This window comes from Homo sapiens, chromosome 7 (assembly GCF_000001405.40).
Source record: "Homo sapiens chromosome 7, GRCh38.p14 Primary Assembly".
Classification (NCBI taxonomy): domain Eukaryota; kingdom Metazoa; phylum Chordata; class Mammalia; order Primates; family Hominidae; genus Homo; species Homo sapiens.
The window spans coordinates 119,782,576-119,803,097 of record NC_000007.14 but is presented as its reverse complement, the minus strand read 5'-3'; the positions used below and the strand labels follow the sequence as shown (position 1 = coordinate 119,803,097).

Sequence of the window (20,522 nt, the reverse complement as noted above, 5' to 3'; positions counted from 1 at the left end):
TTTGCTTCATAAGAAGCTTGTCTATGTAAATTGTCCCAGTCACTCTACTTCTGGCTAATTTTGTCAGACACAGGAAAGATCATCTCTAAAATCACACTTTAATAATGACATTTAAAGCTAGACTGTTATTCAGTGCTAGAATAACAAAAAGGCTATCAATTTCATTTCTCTATAGCATTTATATTTTTGGTTATTAAAATTATGCGAGGATGACAAGTATATTAAGAGAAACTACACATGCTTCTGATCCCATAAAACTTGTCTAAATGGCCAGAATTAAGACTAAAGGACTATATATAACGTCAACATAGGTGGTTTATTTTTTTTCTCCTGCCAAGCTTTTATTCACTTTATTGCTTATTCTCAGAACAGAAATAAGCTTAAAGAAAACAAGTTTAAAAAGTCCGCAGATATTTATAACAATGTAAGATTACTCTTAGACATGAGGAGATAGCACGTGTGTGTCTGTGTGTGTGTGTGCGTGCACATGTGAGTGTAATTAAAATTCATTTTACTTTTTAAGATCAAAATCTTTATTTGTAACTTATTCTCCAGTGGATATAAAGTATTAAGATAAGCAATTGACATTCCTTTTTCCTCTAATTTTTATTTATTGTGGTAAGGAAACGACGATTTATCCCTTTAAAATTTTAAGTGTATAATACAATATCATTAACTATAGGCACACTATTACACAGGAGATCTCTAGAGCTTACTCATCTTACATAAGTGGAACTACATTCCTGAACTCAGTGCGATGGAGGAAAAGCTTCTGGGAAATTCCACTGCTCTGTGTATGAGTGAATGTTTGCACTTACCTGAAAACGAGAATTGACTTTGGTATAATACGTATACTGGTGAGAGCAATGAGATTGCTTCTTTCCTGAATTTGAGTCTAAACATTGCAACGTACAAAATGTATGAAATTATGATTGCCTCCTACAATCTTTAAAATAGGCGTAATAGAAACTGACTCTCAGAATTATTGTGAGGAGAGAAAAGGTAATAAACATAAAGGTTTGGTTTTGTTTTTAAATGAGGATTACTAAACAAATGTAAGTTAATGTATTTCATCAGAATTATATCTGATGGTTTAGATGCATAATATTTTTATGATATTACAGTAGACAATTCAAACTTGACACTAAATGATTGCTTTTTCTAGTATTATGGTAACAATGTTGTTACTTGACAGAACAAGGAAGAATGATACTCATAAGGAGATTCAGACCAATGATACTAACTTAAAAATTAATACCTGTTTACATGAACATCCATAGATTGTATGTTAGACTGCATATCAGGAAACATTTTCAATTCCAGCTCTGTAACTTATTTGCGTATCACTGGACCTCGGTTTTCTTCAAATGTAAATATCCAAAGACACTAGTTTTATTCAAACTAAACAAGATAGTGACCAATGGACAAACAAGGAGGGCCAATATGAGAATGCAATGTAGGCTTCAGGGACCCCTGTCTATCTCACTTCAGTCAAAATGGTACTACTTTTATCCTCTTCAGTGTCACGAAGGATTTACTATATAAAAATCATTCAAAAGATAAAAATATAAGAATCCTCGTGGCTTTTATCTTCTATAATAAGAAAATTCTATATAAAGCTCTGATGTGGAAAACTGAAAATCCACACAGAAGTTTCACATAGACAAGTATAGTGATAGTATTACTTTCAACCAAAAAAATAAAAAATCTTAGTCTCTATGATTTACTATTGTGGTATGTTGAGCGTATATTCAGACAGATGATATCATGCTTATATCTCCTCAAGTGCTAGATTTTACATTGATGACAATGAGGCAGTTCTATTTAGAAAAAGTCTGAAATATTCTAAAGGCAAAGCAGTCAAGAAAGACCTACATGCATTAAAATATCAGTCAAATAAAAGGGAGCAGATAAATAACAAGACTACTAAGAAAAATATGGGGGTATCAGGTAATATAGATTTAAGTCAACAAGATTGGGAGTCCAGGTGGAAAGAGGATCAGTGACCTCTTTCAGAATCCCTGTAGCATGGAATCTAGTTGTAGCAGCTGTGATCTCGGAAAGGTAGAAGAAAAGGTGTTATTGGGTGGAGAAAGTAAGAGAAGTGAAATTTTTATTGGTGAATATGCTTTCTACTTTGCATTGGTATCTTTGACATTTCCTGAATGAGAAATACTGGTAAAATAGTGACTAATGTCTAAGGTAATTTTTTTTTTTTTTTAGCAAAATGTGACTGAAAAACAGAAGCATTTGGAATACGTAACAGAAGTCATTAAAAAGAGGTATGATGAATATGATGAACTTAGAATGATACTGATCTTCACAATGAAGCATAAAGTTAAAAGCAGATAAGTATTGAACCTTAAAAACTCCTTATATTATATAGATTTAATCCAAATGTGAGTATTTTGTGGACTTAAAGGAGGCAAAGTGATTTTTATAGTACGTAGCGAGTGTTTTACAAGTGTAAGGGGTGACTGGAGAGAAAAATAATTTAATAAAATTTAGAATTTTTAAAATGTTTCCTCTTTAATCATAAACTAAGTACCTAGTTATGCCAACCTCTGGAGTAGGGATAACATGATGAATAAAAGGTTTTACCTGCTCCTGAACAACAGAGTCTAAAGCAAGCTTGTCTAACCCATGGCCCACGGGCTGCCTGTTGCTCGGGACAGCTTTGAATGCTGCCCAACACAAATTCATAAACCTTCTTAAAACAGTATGAGCATTTTTTGCGATTTTTTAAAGCACATCAGCTGTCGTTGGTGTTAGTGCATTTTATGTGTGGTCCCCAACAATTCTTCATCTTCCAATGTGGCCCAGGGAAACCAAAAGATTAGACACCCCTGGTCTAAAGGATAGGAAAAGGAGATAAATGAAATTTAATATGTTAAGCTACACAATAAAAAATAACAAAATGCTGTGCTAGCATATATGGAAAATACTTTTCCCAGTATTCATCTGACATCATTTAAAATTTTACAGGTCAGAGGACTTTAAATGTTCATATTTAAATGTAGATAAGATTTCAGCTGGCCACTCTAAAGTGAAAAATCAATTGGACATAAATAAATGCCCTACCCTGTGACTGGTTTAACAGCATGATGTATGTTATATTGGAAAAAAGCCAACCTGAAGTTTTAAGATATCAGCATGTACTTTGGTGGAAGATGAACTGATTGCCCTGTCTTCAAACAAGTATAAATTCTACTGGAATTCATTATTTAAAAAAACAATAAATTTGAAATAATTTTAGGTAGTAACATAATAGAAATTCCTTATTTTGCTTTCTCTTTGAGTAATTAGTTGAATTTTCTTTTTTGTTCTTTTTTAAAAAAAATACAGAAAGCAAACTTTCTAGTAATTGGCATTTTATTGTAATAATAAATCCGTGTTTCTAATATAAAAATCACAGAAACAGTTTTGGGACATTAAGGTTAAGGATTTTTCAACTCTGATTTTTTAACACATGTGCCAGGATATCATTCTTCATTGGCAGAATTAGAAATCCTTGGCAGAGTACACTTTACCAATTAGAAAAACTACTACATTCCATCATATAGACCTATGTTGTTTAGTCATTTTCCTAATAAAACAATGAGGTTTGCAATATGATTGGGGTGAGGTATAACTCCATTAATATTCTGTGATTATGACTGCCTTTTAATCCCAATTTGTGGCATGGTAATAAAGGGCTTATTAGGAGATCAGTGATGCTCAAAATGACATGTAGTTTGAAAGTCAGGTGTGGCCACATATTCCTTGGATGTCACCAAAATTCGTATATTACATTACTTCCTCCAGCAGCAGACCACATATGAGATGGTACCTGTATATTTTTCCTTACTTGGTCCCTTCAGGTTGGAGAATTGAGATAACTTTATTTAATGTGCATCCTTAAATTGTGACTTCTTTGGAGATCATAGCAGGTAAATTATTAGCTTGCTAGCTTCTTCATTTGTAAATGAGAAAGAAAAAACTTCTGGAAGTAAAATCAGGACAATTTTTCTAAATGTACTTAAAATCCTCTATACTAAGGTTTTGTGAAATCGGAGAAACTGTAACTACTCTTAAAAAAAAGTATTTGTTTTTATATAATGTTTCTGTGTTTTGGACAGTGTCTTTAATTCAGTTATGAAGTTCAGTCTTTTAAATACAGCTATCCCTTAGTATGCCCATGGAATTGACTCCAGAACCTCTGTGTAGACTAAATTCCACACACACTCAAGTCCCACAGGTGACCCTATGGAGCCACTTAAGTGAAAATTTGCCCCTCTGCCTATGTGGGGTTTGCATCCCATGAACAGTATATTTTCAATCCCTCTTTGGTTAGAAAAAAATTCATGCATAATTGGACCCTTGAAGTTCAAACCCGTGTTGTCTACTTTGGTCATCTGTTCATGCAACAAAACAAAACAAAACAAGAAACAAAACATGGACATACACTTTTTTTTTTTTTCAAAATAACTGATTCACTTACCACCAACGCTTAGAAAGAATGAAAATGGAAGTATATCTGTGTACAAGTTAATAATGCACATGCTTTTAGTAAAATGCTATTATGATAACCATGATATTAAAGTATTTGTCATTAGGATTGTGCACATGTGGTAATAATAACTAGCATAATATGTTTGAAAAAAGTACCAAGCACACCTCTCTCAGTGGAGAGAAATCATCTTTGATTGGCTTTGTCATTTCCTATGATTTGCATACAGTCACCCCTGTATACTGGGGATTGGTTCCAGAACCCCTGTGGATACCAAAATCCATGGATAAGCAAGTCTCTTATAAAAAATGATGTAGGGATAGAGGTGGAGCAAGATGGGATAATAGAAAGCTCCATTTATCATGCCCTTCACAAGAACATCCAGTTAACAAGTATCTACACAGAAAAAAATAAAAATAAAGAAAACCACCTTCATAAGAACCAAAAATCAGGTGAGCACTCATAGTACCTGGTTTTAACTGCGTATCACCGAAAGAGGAACTGAAGAGGTGGAAAAAGCAGTCCTAAATCTCTGAGGCCACCCCTCCCTCACCCTTGGTAGCAGCAGTGGTGTGGTGTGGAGAGTTTCCCTGGATACTAGGAGAAATATAACACAGCAATTGTGAGGCATTGAACTCAATCCTGTCCTGTCCTGTTAGAGCAGATCCTGTCCTGTTACAGCAGAAGGGAAAACCAGACCAAACCCAGCTAACACCTGCCCACTGGGGGAGCACTGAATCCAGCCCTAGCCAGCGGGGAATCCCTGGTCGCAGTATTCCAAACTTGAGTGCCTGCAAACCCCATCACCGATAGTTACAGCACTCTGTGTCTCCAAGTAAACTTGAAAACCAGTCTAGTCCATAAAGACTGCAACTCCTAGGTCAGTCCTTGAGCTGAACTAGGCCCAGAAACAGTGGACTGAGGGGGTGCGTGACATAACTGAAACACCAGCTGGGGAAGCCAAGGGAGTGCTGGTACCACCCCTTCCCTAACTCCAGTTTACATAGATCAAGGCTCCAAAAGAGACCCTTCTGCTTGAGGACAGGAGAGGGAAGAGTGGGAAGGACCTTGTCTAGCATCTTCGATACTAGCTCAACCACAGCAGAATAGGGAACATGTCAGAACTTTGAGGCCCACACTTCAGGCCCTAGCTCCCAGACAACATTTCTAGACACACCTGGGCCAGAAAGTCACCTATTGTCTTGAAGGAAAGGACTCAGTCCTGGCAGCATTCATCACCTGCTGGCAGAAGAGCCCTTGGGCCCTGAGTAACCAGCAGCAATACTCAAGTGCTACATTGAGAACCTTGGATAAGCTTCTGAGACATGCTGGCTTCAGATGAGACTCAGTACATTACCAGCTGTGGTAACTATGGGGCAAAACTCCTTTTGCTTGAGAGAAACAGAGGGAAAATTAAAGGGGACTTAGTCTTGCACCTTAGGTGTCAACATAGCCACAGGGAGATAGAGAACCAAGTGGGCTTTAGGGGGCCCCAATTTTAGGACTTGACTCTTGAATGGCAGTTCTGGACCTGTTCTGAGCTAGAGGGGAGTCCACTGCCCAGGGTGAGTCCCAGGTCAGGCAGCATTCAATGACCAGCTGACTTAAGGACCTTGGGCATTAAGGAAACGTCTGTGGTAATCTGGCAGTACTCTCTGTACTGGGGTGGTGGTGGCTGCAAAGTGAAATGGTGCTGGGGAAACTGGCTAGCCGTATGTAGAAAGCTGAAACTGGATCCCTTCCTTACACCTTATACAAAAATTAATTCAAGATGGATTAAAGACTTAAATGTTAGACCTAAAACCATAAAAACCCTAGAAGAAAACCTAGGCAATACCATTCAGGACATAGGCATGGGCAAGGACTTCATGTCTAAAACACCAAAAGCAATGGCAGCAAAAGCCAAAATTGACAAATGGGATCTAATTAAACTAAAGAGCTTCTGCACAGCAAAAGAAACTACCATCAGAGTGAACAGGCAACCTACAGAATCGGAGAAAATTTTTGCAGTCTGCTCATCTGACAAAGGGCTAATATCCAGAATCTACAATGAACTCCAATAAATTTACAAGAAAAAAACAACCCCATCAAAAAGTGGGCAAAGGATATGAACAGACACTTCTCAAAAGAAGACATTTATGCAGCCAACAGACACATGAAAAAATGCTCATCATCACTGGCCATCAGAGAAATGCAAATCAAAACCACAATGAGATACCATCTCACACCAGTTAGAATGGCGATCATTTAAAAGTCAGGAAACAACAGGTACTGGAGAGGAGGTGGAGAAATAGAACACTTTTACACTGTTGGTGGGACTGTAAACTAGTTCATCCATTGTGGAAGTCAGTGTGGCGATTCCTCAGGGATCTAGAACTAGAAATACCATTTGACCCAGCCATCCCATTACTGGGTATATACCCAAAGGATTACAAATCATGCTGCTATGAAGACACATGCACACGTATGTTTATTGCAGCAGTATTCACAATAGCAAAGACTTGGAACCAACCCAAATGTCCAACAATGATAGACTGGATCAAGAACATTTGGCAAATACACCATGGAATACTATGCAGCCATAAAAAATGATGAGTTCATGTCCTTTGTAGGGACATGGATGAAGCTGGAAACCATCATTCTCAGCAAACTGTCGCAAGGACAAAAAACCAAACACCACATGTTCTCACTCATAGGTGGGAATTGAACAATGAGAACACATGGACACAGGAAGGGGAACATCACACACCGGGGCCTGTTGTGGGATAGGGGAGGGGGAGGGATAGCATTAGGAGATATACCTAATGTTAAATGACGAGTTAATGGGTGCAGCACACCAACATGGCACATGTATACATATGTAACTAACCTGCATGTTGTGCACATGTACCCTAAAACTTAAAGTATAATAAAAATAAAATAAAATATATCGGATACATAAAAAAAAATAAAAGGGAAGGGAAGATTAGGAAGGTCAGCGTCTTGTGACTTGAGTGCCAGCTCAGCTGGCATACAATAGAACATCAGGTAGACTTCTAAGGTTTTTGACCCTAGTCCCTGACTATCGGACAGCACCCCTAGGCCCACCCAGTGTCTAGGGACCATACTGTTCGGAAGGGAAGGCCCAGGTCTGGCTGGCTTTGCTCCCTAATTGCAGAGCCACAGGGCCTTGAGTGAACATAAGCAATAGCCAGGGAGGGGTTACAGTGGGCCTTGGGCAAGACACAGAATTGTGCTGGCTTCAGGTCTGACCCAGCAAAGTATTATCAAGAGTGGCCCTGAGGGTGCTTATGTCACTCCACCCGCAGTTTTAGGTGGCTAAGAACAGAGTGAGAGACTCTGTATGTCTGGGAGAAAGAAACAGGAAAGAACCACAGTCTCTGCCTGGTAATCCAGATAATTCTCCCAGATCGTGTCTAAGACCATCAAGATGGTCCTTCTATGAGTCTACAAGAACCACAGTTTTACTGGGCTTGGGGTTCCCCTTAAAGCAGATAGAGCTTAGATAACAACATGTAAGTCCTTTCAAATATCTGGAAACTCTGCTAAAGAAGAATGACTATAAATAAGCTCAGAGAGTAAAGACTACTATAAATACCTAACACTTCAATGCCCAGACACCACAGAACATCTACTAGCATCAACACCATCCAAGAAAACATGATATCACCAAATGAACTAAATAAGGCACAAGGAACCAATCCCGGAGAAACAGAGATATGCAACATTTCAGACAGAGAATTTAAAATGGCTGTTTTCCGGAAACTTCAAGAAATTTAGGAGAACACCAAGAAAGAATTTAGAATTCTATCAAAAAAATGTAGCAGAGATTAGAAGAATTAAACAGAATCAAGCAGAAATTCTGAAGCCGAAAAATGTAACAGGTATCCTGAAGATTGCATCAGAGTCTTTTAATAGTGGAATTGAAATAATTAGTGAGCTTGAAAACAGACTATTTGAAAATACACAGTCAGAGGAGACAAAGAACAAAAAGTAAAAAACAATAAAGCACACCTACAGGATCTAGAAAATAGCATCAAAAGAGCAAATCTAAGAGTTACTGGCCTTAAAAAGCAGGTAGAGAAAGAGATAAGGGTAGAAAGTTTATTCAAAGGGATAATAACAGAGAAGTTCTCAAACCTAGAGAAAAATATAAGTATCCAATTACAAGAAGGTTATAGAACACCAAGCTGATTTAACCCAAAGAAGTCGGCCACAAAGCATTTAATAGTCAAACTCCCGATGGTCAAAGATAAAGAAAGGATCCTAAAAGCAGAAAGAGAAAAGAAACAACAGACAATGATGCTCCAATACATCAGCAGACTTCTAAGATGGAATCTTATAGGCTAGGAGAGAGGGGTATGGCACAATTAAAGTGTGGAAGAAAAATAACTATTACTCTAGAATAGGATATCTGGTGAAAATACTCTTCACACTAGAAGGATAATTAAAAGACTTTTCAAGACAAACAAAAGCTGAGAGATTTTTTTTTTTTAACCAATGTCAGGTCTCCCTACAAGTAATGCTAAAGAGAATACTTCAGTCAGAAAGCAAAAGACATTAATGAGCACTAAATAATCACTTGAAGGTACAAAATTAACTGGTAATAGTTATACACAGAAAAACCCAGAATATTATAACATTGTAACTATGGTGTGTAAACAACTCTTATCCTAAGTAAAAAGACTAAATGATGAACCAGTCAAAAATAATAATTGCAACTTTTTAAGACATAGCACAATAAGATATAAATAGAAACAAGAAAAAGTTAAAAAGCAGGGGGTTGAAATTTAAGCATAGAGTTATTATTAGTTTCCTTTTTCCTTGTTTGGTTTGTTGTTTATGCAAATAGTTAAGTTGTTATCAGGTTAATATAATGGGTTATAAGATCATAATAACCTTCATGGTAACCTCAAACCAAAAACATGCAATGGATACATAAAATATAGAAAGCAAGAAACTAAATCATGTTAACAGGGAAAATCACCATCATTAAAGGAAGACAGGAAGAAAAGAAAGAAGCAACATAAGATCATAAAAGAACCAGAAAACAAATAACAAAATGGGAAGAGTAAGATCTTACTTATCTATAGTAATTGAATGTAAATGGACTAAATTCTCCAATTAAAAGACATATACTAGATGAATGAATGAAAAAACAAGACTCATTGATCTGTTTCCTACAGGAAACACACTTCACCTGTGAAGACACATATGGACTGGTAAAAAAGGGATAGGAAAAGATTTTCCACATCAATGGAAACAAAAACAGAGCACAAGTCATGATACTTATATCTGACAAAATAAGCTTCAAGACAAAAACTGTAAGAAGAGACAAAGAAGGTCATTATAAAATGATAAAGGGGCCAATTCAACTAGAGGATATAACAATTTTAAATACATGTGCACCTAACACTGGAGCACCCAGATGTATTAAAAAAATCATTAGAGCTAAAGAGAGAGATAGGCCCCAATACAATAATAACTGAAGACTTCAAACCCCACTTTTAGCATTGGACAGATTTTCCAGAAAGAAAATCAATATAGAAATATCAGACTTTATCTACAGTATAAACCAAATGGGTCAAATAGATATTTACAGGACATTTTATCCAAGAGCTGCAGAATACACATTCTTTTCATCAGCACTTGGATCATTCTCAATGATAGACCATATGTTAGGTCACAAAACAAGTCTGAAAACATGCAAAAAAATGAAAAATATCAATCATCTTTTCTGACCCCAATGAAATAAAACTAGAAATTCATAACGAGGAATTTTGGAAAGTTTACAAGCACACAGAAACTAAACCATATGCTCTTGAATGCCCAGTGGGTAAGTCAAGAAATTAAGAAAAAAATTGAAAAAGTTATTTAAACAATTGATGATGAAAACACAACATACCAAAATCTATGGGATACAGCAAAAGCAGTACTAAGAGGGAATTTTATAGCTATAAGTTTCTATATCAAAAAAGAGGAAAAACTTCAAATGAAAAATTTAATGGTGCATCTTCAAAAACCAGAAAAGCAAGGGTACATGCCTAGGAATTAACCAAAAAAGTGAAATTTCTGTAAAATGAAAACTGTAAAACACTGATAAAATAAATTGAAGAGGACATCACAAAAGAAATTGAAGCAGACACCGTGGATTGGAAGAATCACTAAAATGTTAAAATGTTCATACTACCCCCCAAAACATCTACAGATTCAATACAATCCCTTTCAAAACAGCAGAAACATTTTTCAGAGAAATAGAAAAAACAATCCAAAAATTTATATGTAACCACAAAAGACCAAGAATAGCCAAAGCTATCTTAAACAAAAGGAACAAAACTCAGGAATCACATTTCTTGACTTCAGATTACACTACAGTGCTATAGTAACAACAAACAGCAAGTTACGGGCATAAAAACAGACCAATAGACCGGAAGAGAGGACGTAGAAACAAATCCACACACCTACAGTGAAACCATTTTTGAGAAAAGTGCCAAATACTTACATTGGGGAAAAAGCAGACTCTTTAATAAAAGGTGCTGAAAAAACTGTATATCCATATGCAGAAGAATAAATGAGACCATATACAAAAATAAAATTGGATTAAAGACTTAAATCTAAGACCTCAAACTATGAAACTACTAAAAGAAAACTTATTTTGGAAAATCTCCGGAACTTTAATCTGGGCAAACATTCTTGAGCAATACCCCACAAGCACAGGCAACCAAGACAATAATGGACAAATGGAATCACATCCAGTTAAAAAGCTTCAGCACAGCAAAAGATACAAGCAACGAGGTGAAGAGACAACCCACAGAATGGGAGAAAATATTTGGAAGCTACCCATCTGTCAAGGGATTAATAACCAGAATACATAAGGAGCTCGAACAACTCCGTAGGAAAAAGCCTATTAATCTGATCAAAAAATGGGCAAAATATTTGAATAGGCATTGCTTGAAGACATACAATAGCAAACAGGCATGTAAAAAGGTGTTTGACATTATTGATCATCAGATAAATGAAAATCAAAACAATAATGAGATATCATCTCACCCCAGTTAAAAATAGCTTACATCCAAAATTCAGTTACCTTTATCTGCCTTGTGTTATCTATTAGTAAAATAAACATTACTGTGGAAAGATACATGTGAGGCAGGAAGACATACAGGAAAGACTTAAAAAGAAAGCTATCAGATAATGAGAGTGAAGGAGAGTTAGAAAGGTAGTCCGCAAAGCATGTCATAATATAGGTTTAGCTTGAAGAAAGCTAATGATCAGGAAATACTTAAAAAATTAGAATGCGGAAAAAGAGTGTAGAGGAAAAGACTACTGGTGACACTATGAAACTCGTTTGTTTCTTCCTTAAATTCTCATGTTTTAAACATATACCATATCCAAAGAGAAAGAAGGGTTCTAGATAATTTGATGTTTAACCACATTGATCAATAGCATACATCTAGTAAGAAGCAGAGCCAGGATTTAAACCAAGATAAGCACTCTTTCTACTCCATCTCACTACTTCCCCCATGGGGCTATTATTTGTTCTAGACAAAAAGGATTTAAAAATGGCTGACTGTAAAATCTGATTGGAGAGTATATATAGGCCAAAATGGACCACATTATTGAATTTGCAAATTATTTCTTCCTTTAAAGCATTTAGGCACTATTAGAATTAAAATAATACTGGGAAGTTGAAATAACATATTAAGCCATTATCTGCTTATCACATGTAATTTTTCATTGGGTTTACTCTCTTAAGAAAATGGATCACAACATATACAGTTTTTGATCCCATAAATGATTAGAATGAATGTACTTTTTAAGAATATGCTATGGCTTGAATGTCCCCTCCAAAAGCCATGTGGTAATGTAATCTCCATTGTGGCAGTATTAAGAAGTGATTAAGCCATGAGGGATCCACCTTCATGAGTGGATTAATGACATTTTTGCAGAAATAAATTTCTGATAAAAGTGAGCTCACCCTCCTCTACCCTCTTGCTCTCAGATGGACTTTTTTGCTATTTCACTTTCTGCCATGGGATGACATAGCAACAAGAACTTTATTAGATAGCTCCAAGACCTTGGACTTCCTGGCTTCAAGAACTCTAATGAATATTTTTTTCTTTATAAGTTACCCAATCATGGTATTCTGTTATATCAACACAAGGTAGACTTAGATTGCAACTTTAAGAAGATGTCTCGATGAGTTCCCCAGAAGTTTAAGCAACATTCTTATACTAATTTTTTAAGTGAAAGTTAACAGGATGCTACCGAACCTAAAATGGGAAATGTACATGGATTAGACTGACAGAACAATAATCTCATATGTATTGAAATTTTGCTTGTAAGTGGTTCAAATAACAAAAATACACCATACACACACATATATGTACATGTGCCCACATACACTTACATAAATGCAAATACAAATATAACTTTCCTTATATTTAAAATATTTGAGAATCCATAACTTATTTTTCTAAACCCCACTATATCTCATGTGTAAAATAGGTTCTACACTGTTTTTCTTCTCTCATGTTTTCTGTTTGGCCTATGTTATGGAAGTTAGTGGATCCCTTTGCTAACCTTCTGTAATTCTTGTACAAATTTCTAAGATAACATTTATTACCTTTTAGCAATTATTTACTCATGGTGCTATCTCTCCCATTAGACCTTTAAATTCAAGAGGGCAAATGAAATTACTTATTTGGAATTGTATTCCTTGCTCATAGCTCATTTCAGAGCACATATCAGAAAAGAAATATTTTTTATGTATAAATGAAAATGATAAATAATGGTGTAATTGATGGACTATAAAGACATTTTAGGTCATTTTAGATTGTAGACAGTAAGAACAATATTGGTATATATTGTATTTAAAAACTCGATCACATACTTGTTCAGCAATAAAGCACTCAATTCCTTTTTAAAAAATATCTTGCCATAGTTTTTTGCTTGATATTGACTAATGTGGGATATAGCCAGAGGCCTGAAGAGAAAATCTGTGTCTTTGATAGCTACTGGTGATCCTGTATTTCCTCTAAAAAGTAGACCTTATGGTCTTAAACCAAATCCCAGTGAAAATAAATTTGACGCAAACCCAAAAAGCACTTAGATCACAGGGAGTGATTTAGTGTTATATCATTTATTTGATTTTAGAAAAATACTCGTAATACCTAGACCCACTATAGTATTATTGAAATACATTTAAGGTATTTTTAGAGAGGGAACATTGTTATAATCAATAGTCAGAAGTATGCTGTACTTAGATTATAATAGGCATTGAGCCATGTGTAACAAACCTAGAAGATGAAATAGAGGTGGATTTGGCAGACTCTTCTGAAGGACCACATTCCAATGAGCTGCTGTAGCCAAAATGGCCAACAAAATGGTGGGATTTGTTACAAGGAGCATTATGAACAAAACAACTTGCATATTACTCTCATAAACCCATGTGTCCAGTCTACTAGAATACTGTGTGCAGTGATGTTTTGGTTGATGTATATCAAAAATATAGAAACATTCCAGAGAAAAAGTAATACTAGAAAAAGACTTTTGTTTGTGAGAAGGATAGACCCAAGAATGGTTTATTTAATTGTAGTAGAAATAACCCCTTTTACTGTATCATTATAAACTGGTGTAAACAATTGTTTGCTCAAACTATCTAGGAGTTCCACAGCAAAGTATCAATTTTATCTCAACTAAACCTAATTTGCATCATAAAAAGTTATTCTATTATTTCGTTTTTGGTTCTAGAGAGGGTGTTTTATGGGGCAGAGGGGAGTTTATTTCACCTAAAAATTGTGATGAAAATGAAAAATGTATCTTCTGAGAAACTTCTTATTCATGGCTGCAAATAACAAAATAGTTCTGAGTAATTGAAGGGTTTCTAAAGGTGGCAAAATATTGGAATAAATATTATTAGCAGCAAAGATAAATAAATCTAATATGTTTTTAATTACCTGGGCAACACATTTCAAAGTTGTTGTTGTTGTTGTTGTTGTCCTGGGCTATACATTTCAAAGTTGTTGTTATTGTTGTTGTTGTTGTTTTGCTTTTAAAAAATAAACCAGTACAATGCAGTGTTGGTTACCATAACCATAGCCTTATAGTATAGTTTGAAGTCGGGTTATATGATACTTTCAGCTTTGTTCTTTTCGCTTAGGATTGCTTTGGCTAGTCCCAAGCTCTTTTTTGGTTCTATGTGAATACATTTTTCTAGTTCCATGAAAAATGTTGTTGGTAGCTTGCTAGGGATAGCGCTGAATCTGTAGATTATTTTGGGAAGTATGGCCAGTTTTTTTTCATTTTTACCGATTTAAATTTATTACAATTTTAGGAAGTTTTGAGAAAGCTTCAGTAATAGAGTTTTTATTATAGTAAAAAATATGTAACATAAAATGTATCACCTTAACCATTTCTAAGTGTATAGTTCAGTGGTGTTAAATATGTACATATATGTATTTATAAATATATTTAATTTTTAAATTTTGTGGATACATAGTAGGTATATGTATTTATGGGGTACAAGACATATTTTGATACAGGCATGCAGTGTGTAATGGTCACATCAGGTTACATTGGATATGCACCTCCTCAAGCATTTTACCCTTTGTGTTACAAACAATTCAATTATACTCTTTTAGTTATTTTAAAATGCACAATTGCATTACTATTCACTATAGTCACCCTGTTGTGCTAACAGGTCCTAGATCTTATTCATTTGTTCTACTTTATGTTCCCATTAACCATTCCCGTGTCCCCTCCACCATCCCTCACTACCCTTTTCAGCCTCTGGTAACCATTATTCTAGTATTTATCTTGATAAGTTCAGTTGTGTTGATTTTTAGATCCTGCAAATAAATGAAAACATCCAAAGTTTGTCTCTGTTCCTGGATTATTTTATATAACATAATCAACTCCAGTTTCATCTATGTTGTTACAAATGACAGGATCTTATTCCTTTTGATGTGCTGCTGGATTCAGTTTGAAGGTATTCTACTGACAGAGACATAGACGAATGGGACAGGATAGAGAAGCCAGAAATAATGTTGCAACCTTACAGCCATCTGATCTTCAACAAAGTCAACAAAAAGAGACGATGAAGAAAGGGCTGCTCCCTATTCAATAAATGACACTGGGAAAACTGGCTAGTCATACTCAGAAGAATAAAATTGGACCCCTTCCTTTCATCATAGACCAAAATTAACTCAAGATGGATTAAATATATTTAAATGTAAGAACTCAAAACTATAAGAATCCTTGAAGAAAACCTAGGAAACAATATTCTGGACACCAGCCTTGGGAAATAATTTATGACTAAATTCTCAAAAATTAGTTGCAACAAAAAAATTGACAAGTGGAAATAACTAAACTAACAAATCTTCTGCACAGCAAAAGTAACTATCAACAGATTAAACAGACAACCTGCAGAATGGGAGAAAATATTCACAAACTAAGCGTTTGAAAAACGTCTGATATTCAGAATCTATAACAAACTTAAACAAATCAGCAAGCAAAGAACAACCCCACTAAAAAATGGGCAAAAGACATGAAAAGACAATTCTCAAAAGAAGAAATAGAAGTGGCCAGTGGACATTGAAAAATGCTCAACATTACTAATCATCAGAGAAATGCAAATCAAAACCACAATGAGATACCATCTCAGACCATCAGAATGGCTATTATTAAAAAGTCAAAATACAGCCGATGCTGGGGAGGCTGTAGAGATAAGGGAATGCTTATACATTGTTGGTGAGAATGTAAATTAGTTCAGCCACTGTGGAAAGCAGTTTGGCAATTTCTCAAAGAACTTAAAACAGAACTACCATTTGGTCCAGCAATCTAATTACTGAATATACATCCAAAAGAAATTAAATTATTCAATCAAAAAGATACATGAACAGGTATGTTGATAGGATCACTGTTCACAATAGCAAATATATGGAATCAACAACCTAGGTGCCCATCAATGCTAGATTGGAAAAAGAAAATGTAGTACATATACATTATGGAATATTATGTAGCTACAAAAAGAACAACATCATGTCTTTTGCAGCAACATGAATGCACCTGGATGTAATTATCCTAAGTGAACTAACACAGGAACAGAAAACCAAATACCATAAGTTTTCACTTTAAAGTGGGAGCACAACATTGGGTACTCATGGACATAAAGAGGGCAACAATAGACACTGTGGACTAATAGCGAGGGAAGGAATGGAGGGGGACAAAGATTGTAAGACTCTTGATTACTATGCTCAGTATCTGGGAGATGGCAACAATTGTACCCCATACTTCAACATCCTGCAATATACCCAGTTAACAAACCTACACTTGCATTCCCTGAATCTAAAGTAAAAGTTGAAATTATAAAATACAATAAAAATGAAAGACAAAAAGAGTTAAAAGTGTCACATGTGATAGAAATCCTTGTTCCCTAGAAATATTTAGGCCTTTAGGCCTAAAGGTAAATAACCTTTAGGCCATAACTCTGTATACAACAGCTGCTTGATATAGTCATTTTTATCATTAACTACACAAACGATCTTGCCTCAATATCTATATGTACTTTAATTCTTACTCATTTTGTGTCACCATTCCCATGCAGTAGAATACAGCATGCAATTTGAGAAACTGCCCGAAAAATTGTACAGTATAAGAATTTTTTATACAAATGGTTATAATAAAAAGTTGGAAGTGCATCATAAGTGTAGTACAAAATTATAAAGTACTGGTTTTGATAAAAGAACTTAATGAGCTCTCCCTTTACTCAGGAGTATGCTTTATGCAACTTGATTTTATTTGATTTCTGTCTGGTAATATGGAGAGAATTTGAGTATGAGTTGGAACAGGAGTGGGTATATTTGAGAAGCTGGATGTATAAAGTAGAAAAAAATACATGGACAAATTCTCAAGGAATATGTTTTGTGTGTGCAATAACTAGTTGATAGTTAATTTGGGAAGATACAAAAATATGTCCAAATTGTGAGAAGATTTAAACGTAAGGTTTAGTAAAGGAATTCTAAATAAACAATATTAAAGTGGAGATGAATACATTTTGTAATCTATGTAATCTCATGCATCATTTAATTAAAAAAAGATAGCATTTCAGGTTTGGACAATATGTTATATCTTGCATGTCATTTTGCATAAGATGTACTGGTTCCATAGCTTTACCTTTAATGTAATTGAAGCTATGGAACCAGTACATCTTATGCAAAATGACATGCAAGATATATTGTCCAAACCTGAAATGCTATCTTCTTAAAAATGTTTATTTCAAGAGATGAAAATTATGGTTTTCATGTTTTGTACTGTAGAATGAGAAGGAAACACTTTTGAAAAATTTTAAATGGACATTTAAGTATGAGCCTTTTTCCCCCAGATAACTGACATACCTTAGTACTTCTGAAATATTTGAGACTGAGACCTCATTTAATTTGTGGGTCAATAATACACAATTTATATGTATAATACTTAGGGTATATGAGAACCTATATGCATATGTGAATCAAAATTATTTCAGGACAAAATTATAACAAGGACAATACATTCCAGTAAAGTCACAAGTAAAATATAGATATAAAATGGATGATATAGAACCTCTAATCTTGTTGCCTATTTGAGTAATGACTATTCACTTTTTCAAAAAATTGGTATTTTTGACATTTATATTTCCATTTACAATTTTTTAAAGCCAATTTTAGTAGTAGTTTTATGTCTGCCATATCAATTAAAATACTTGATACCAATATTTTAATAACTTAATTATAAAGAAGTTATATACATATATTAATTCAATTATATATAATCATTAATTTTAAAAATCAACAATGAAGAAACTGCAAATTATGCTTGCTTTCAATGAAAATATTCAGATAACCTAGGAATAGCCTGTACATAACAGATGTTAATACATTTTGCAAAGCAGTACTATTTCAATTAAAAATACAAATTCTTTGCCAGAGATTTAAATTGTATCTCAAAATTCATTACAGTTATTTTTTTATTCAAAATTTTTAATGCTTTATTTGTTTGCTGGCTTGTTTGGAACCTGCTATAAAGGAAACCCTTCTCTTGTGTTAAGGCTCCTGTAAGCAGTAGTCAACTTTTCAGGGAAGACTAGCTCAGACCACAGATAAAGATTAACGTTCTTTGTTTCCATGTGGTGGCTGGCCTCTTGGTGGAAGGTATGTAGTCATTAATTATTTAGCACTTCTATTGAAATATGTTTATTTAGAACTTGATATCTCATACATGGCTACAAAGTAGATTGAGACTGTAAAGTCCAACATGCTTATAATGGGATTTTTTTAATCAATTATAAAATTATTAAAAATACAAATAAATTATGAATAATCCTGAAGTCAAACCTAGCTTAAAATGTTTCATAAATAGCTTAATAAATGGCATAAATTGAAAGCTTGTTGTCACAATAATATTTAATGAGGATTCCATACCTTTGTATTAATCAGGATTCCACCAGAAAAAAAATAACTATTAGGATATTGCATAGATAAATAGACAGCCAGACAGATAGATAGTGTTATACACATTGGCTTATACTATTGTGGGGACTGATGAGGCATGTTTGCAATCCATTGGGCAGGCTGCCAGAAAGGACAGGCTCTCAGGAAGGGCAGGCTGGAAACTATGGCAGGAGCTGACGGTATACTTTACAGGCAGAATATTTTCTTCCTTCACATAACCTCAGTTCTGCTCTGAAGGTTTTTCAACTGATTGGATAAGGTCTACCCAGATTATCAAGGATATTCTATGTTGCTTAAAGTCAGCAGATTGTAGCTGTTAATCATACTTACACAATAACTTCAAATAACACCCAGATTAGTATTTGGTGGAATATCTGGGGATGATATCTTGCCAAATTGACCCAAAATACTGACGAGTATACCCACAAATATTAAGAAGAAGGCAAAGATATCCTGTGGCATTACCCTTTTTCAACATTGTACTGGAAGTCCTAGCTAGTGCAAATAAGGCAAGAAAAAATAAAAGTTATACATATTGAAGAAAATATTTACAATTCTTATGTCTAATAAACAATTTTTATCTAGAAGATTTAGTAAAACCCCTAAAACTTAACAATACGAAAATGAAAACCCCAATTAAAATTAGGCAAGAAGTATGAACAAACCATTCACCAAAATTATACAGATGACATATAAACATAGGAAAGATGGCCATGTCATCATTTATCATTAGAGGAATGCAAGTTGAAATCACAATTTAATACCTCTATCCACTTATTGGAATGGCTGTAGAAAATCACACGATGATGTTCATTGCTGGAGTCGATGCAGAATAAGAGAAATCCACATTTATTGATGGTGGGAATGCAAAAATGGTAGAGCCACTTTGAAAGAGAGTTTGTCAATTTATTATATATTCAGAAATAATCCTACCACAATACTTGGTATTCCTGTTCCTATGTATTTATCCAACATACTGAACAAATTCTGCCTACACAAAAGTAGGTATGTAAACATTTTTAGAAGCCAAACCTGGAGTGAATGTATAAACTATGGTACAAATATACAATGGAATAATATTCAATAATAAAAAGTTAGTTATTTATTCATGGAGGAACATGAATGCATCTTAGATTAATAGTGCTAAGTGGAAGAAACCAGAGAAATGCTGCACACTGTATGATTTCATTTATATGGCATTATGTGAAAGGCAAGCTATAGATATGTAAAATAGATCAGTGTTTGCCAGGGATTTGTGAAGGTGTGAATTTTGAGAAGGGGGTTTTATTAGAATGGAAGAACTAATTTTTTGTGTTACTGGAGTGGTAAATATAACTCAATGCATTTTCAGCATCCATAGAAATTTTCAGCACAAAGTGTGAACATTAGTATGTGCAATTAAAAAATAAAAGTCAAAATAGGTGTCAGAGGATCCTGGCATAGAAGGTAGACTATAACAAGAGAATCCAACTGTTAGAAGTGTATAATATAACCTAATTAAAGGAGTGTAGAAAAATGGTGTAAAGTCACCCAAGTGATATGGT

General features: G+C 34.6%; 1 long non-coding RNA gene across 4 annotated transcripts in view; it reads left to right on the top strand.

The window, feature by feature from the left end:
- LINC02476 (long intergenic non-protein coding RNA 2476) overlaps positions 1-20,522 on the top strand; it is a 287,946-nt gene that overhangs the window by 104,278 nt on the left and 163,146 nt on the right. For 3 of the 4 annotated variants that reach the window (NR_131960.1, NR_131962.1, NR_131961.1), the window contains one exon: positions 2,224-2,282. This is a non-coding gene — a long non-coding RNA (long intergenic non-protein coding RNA 2476). Of the gene's footprint in view, positions 1-2,223; positions 2,283-15,438; positions 16,147-20,522 lie in introns of those variants that run through there. The other variant, NR_131963.1, reaches the window with a different exon arrangement.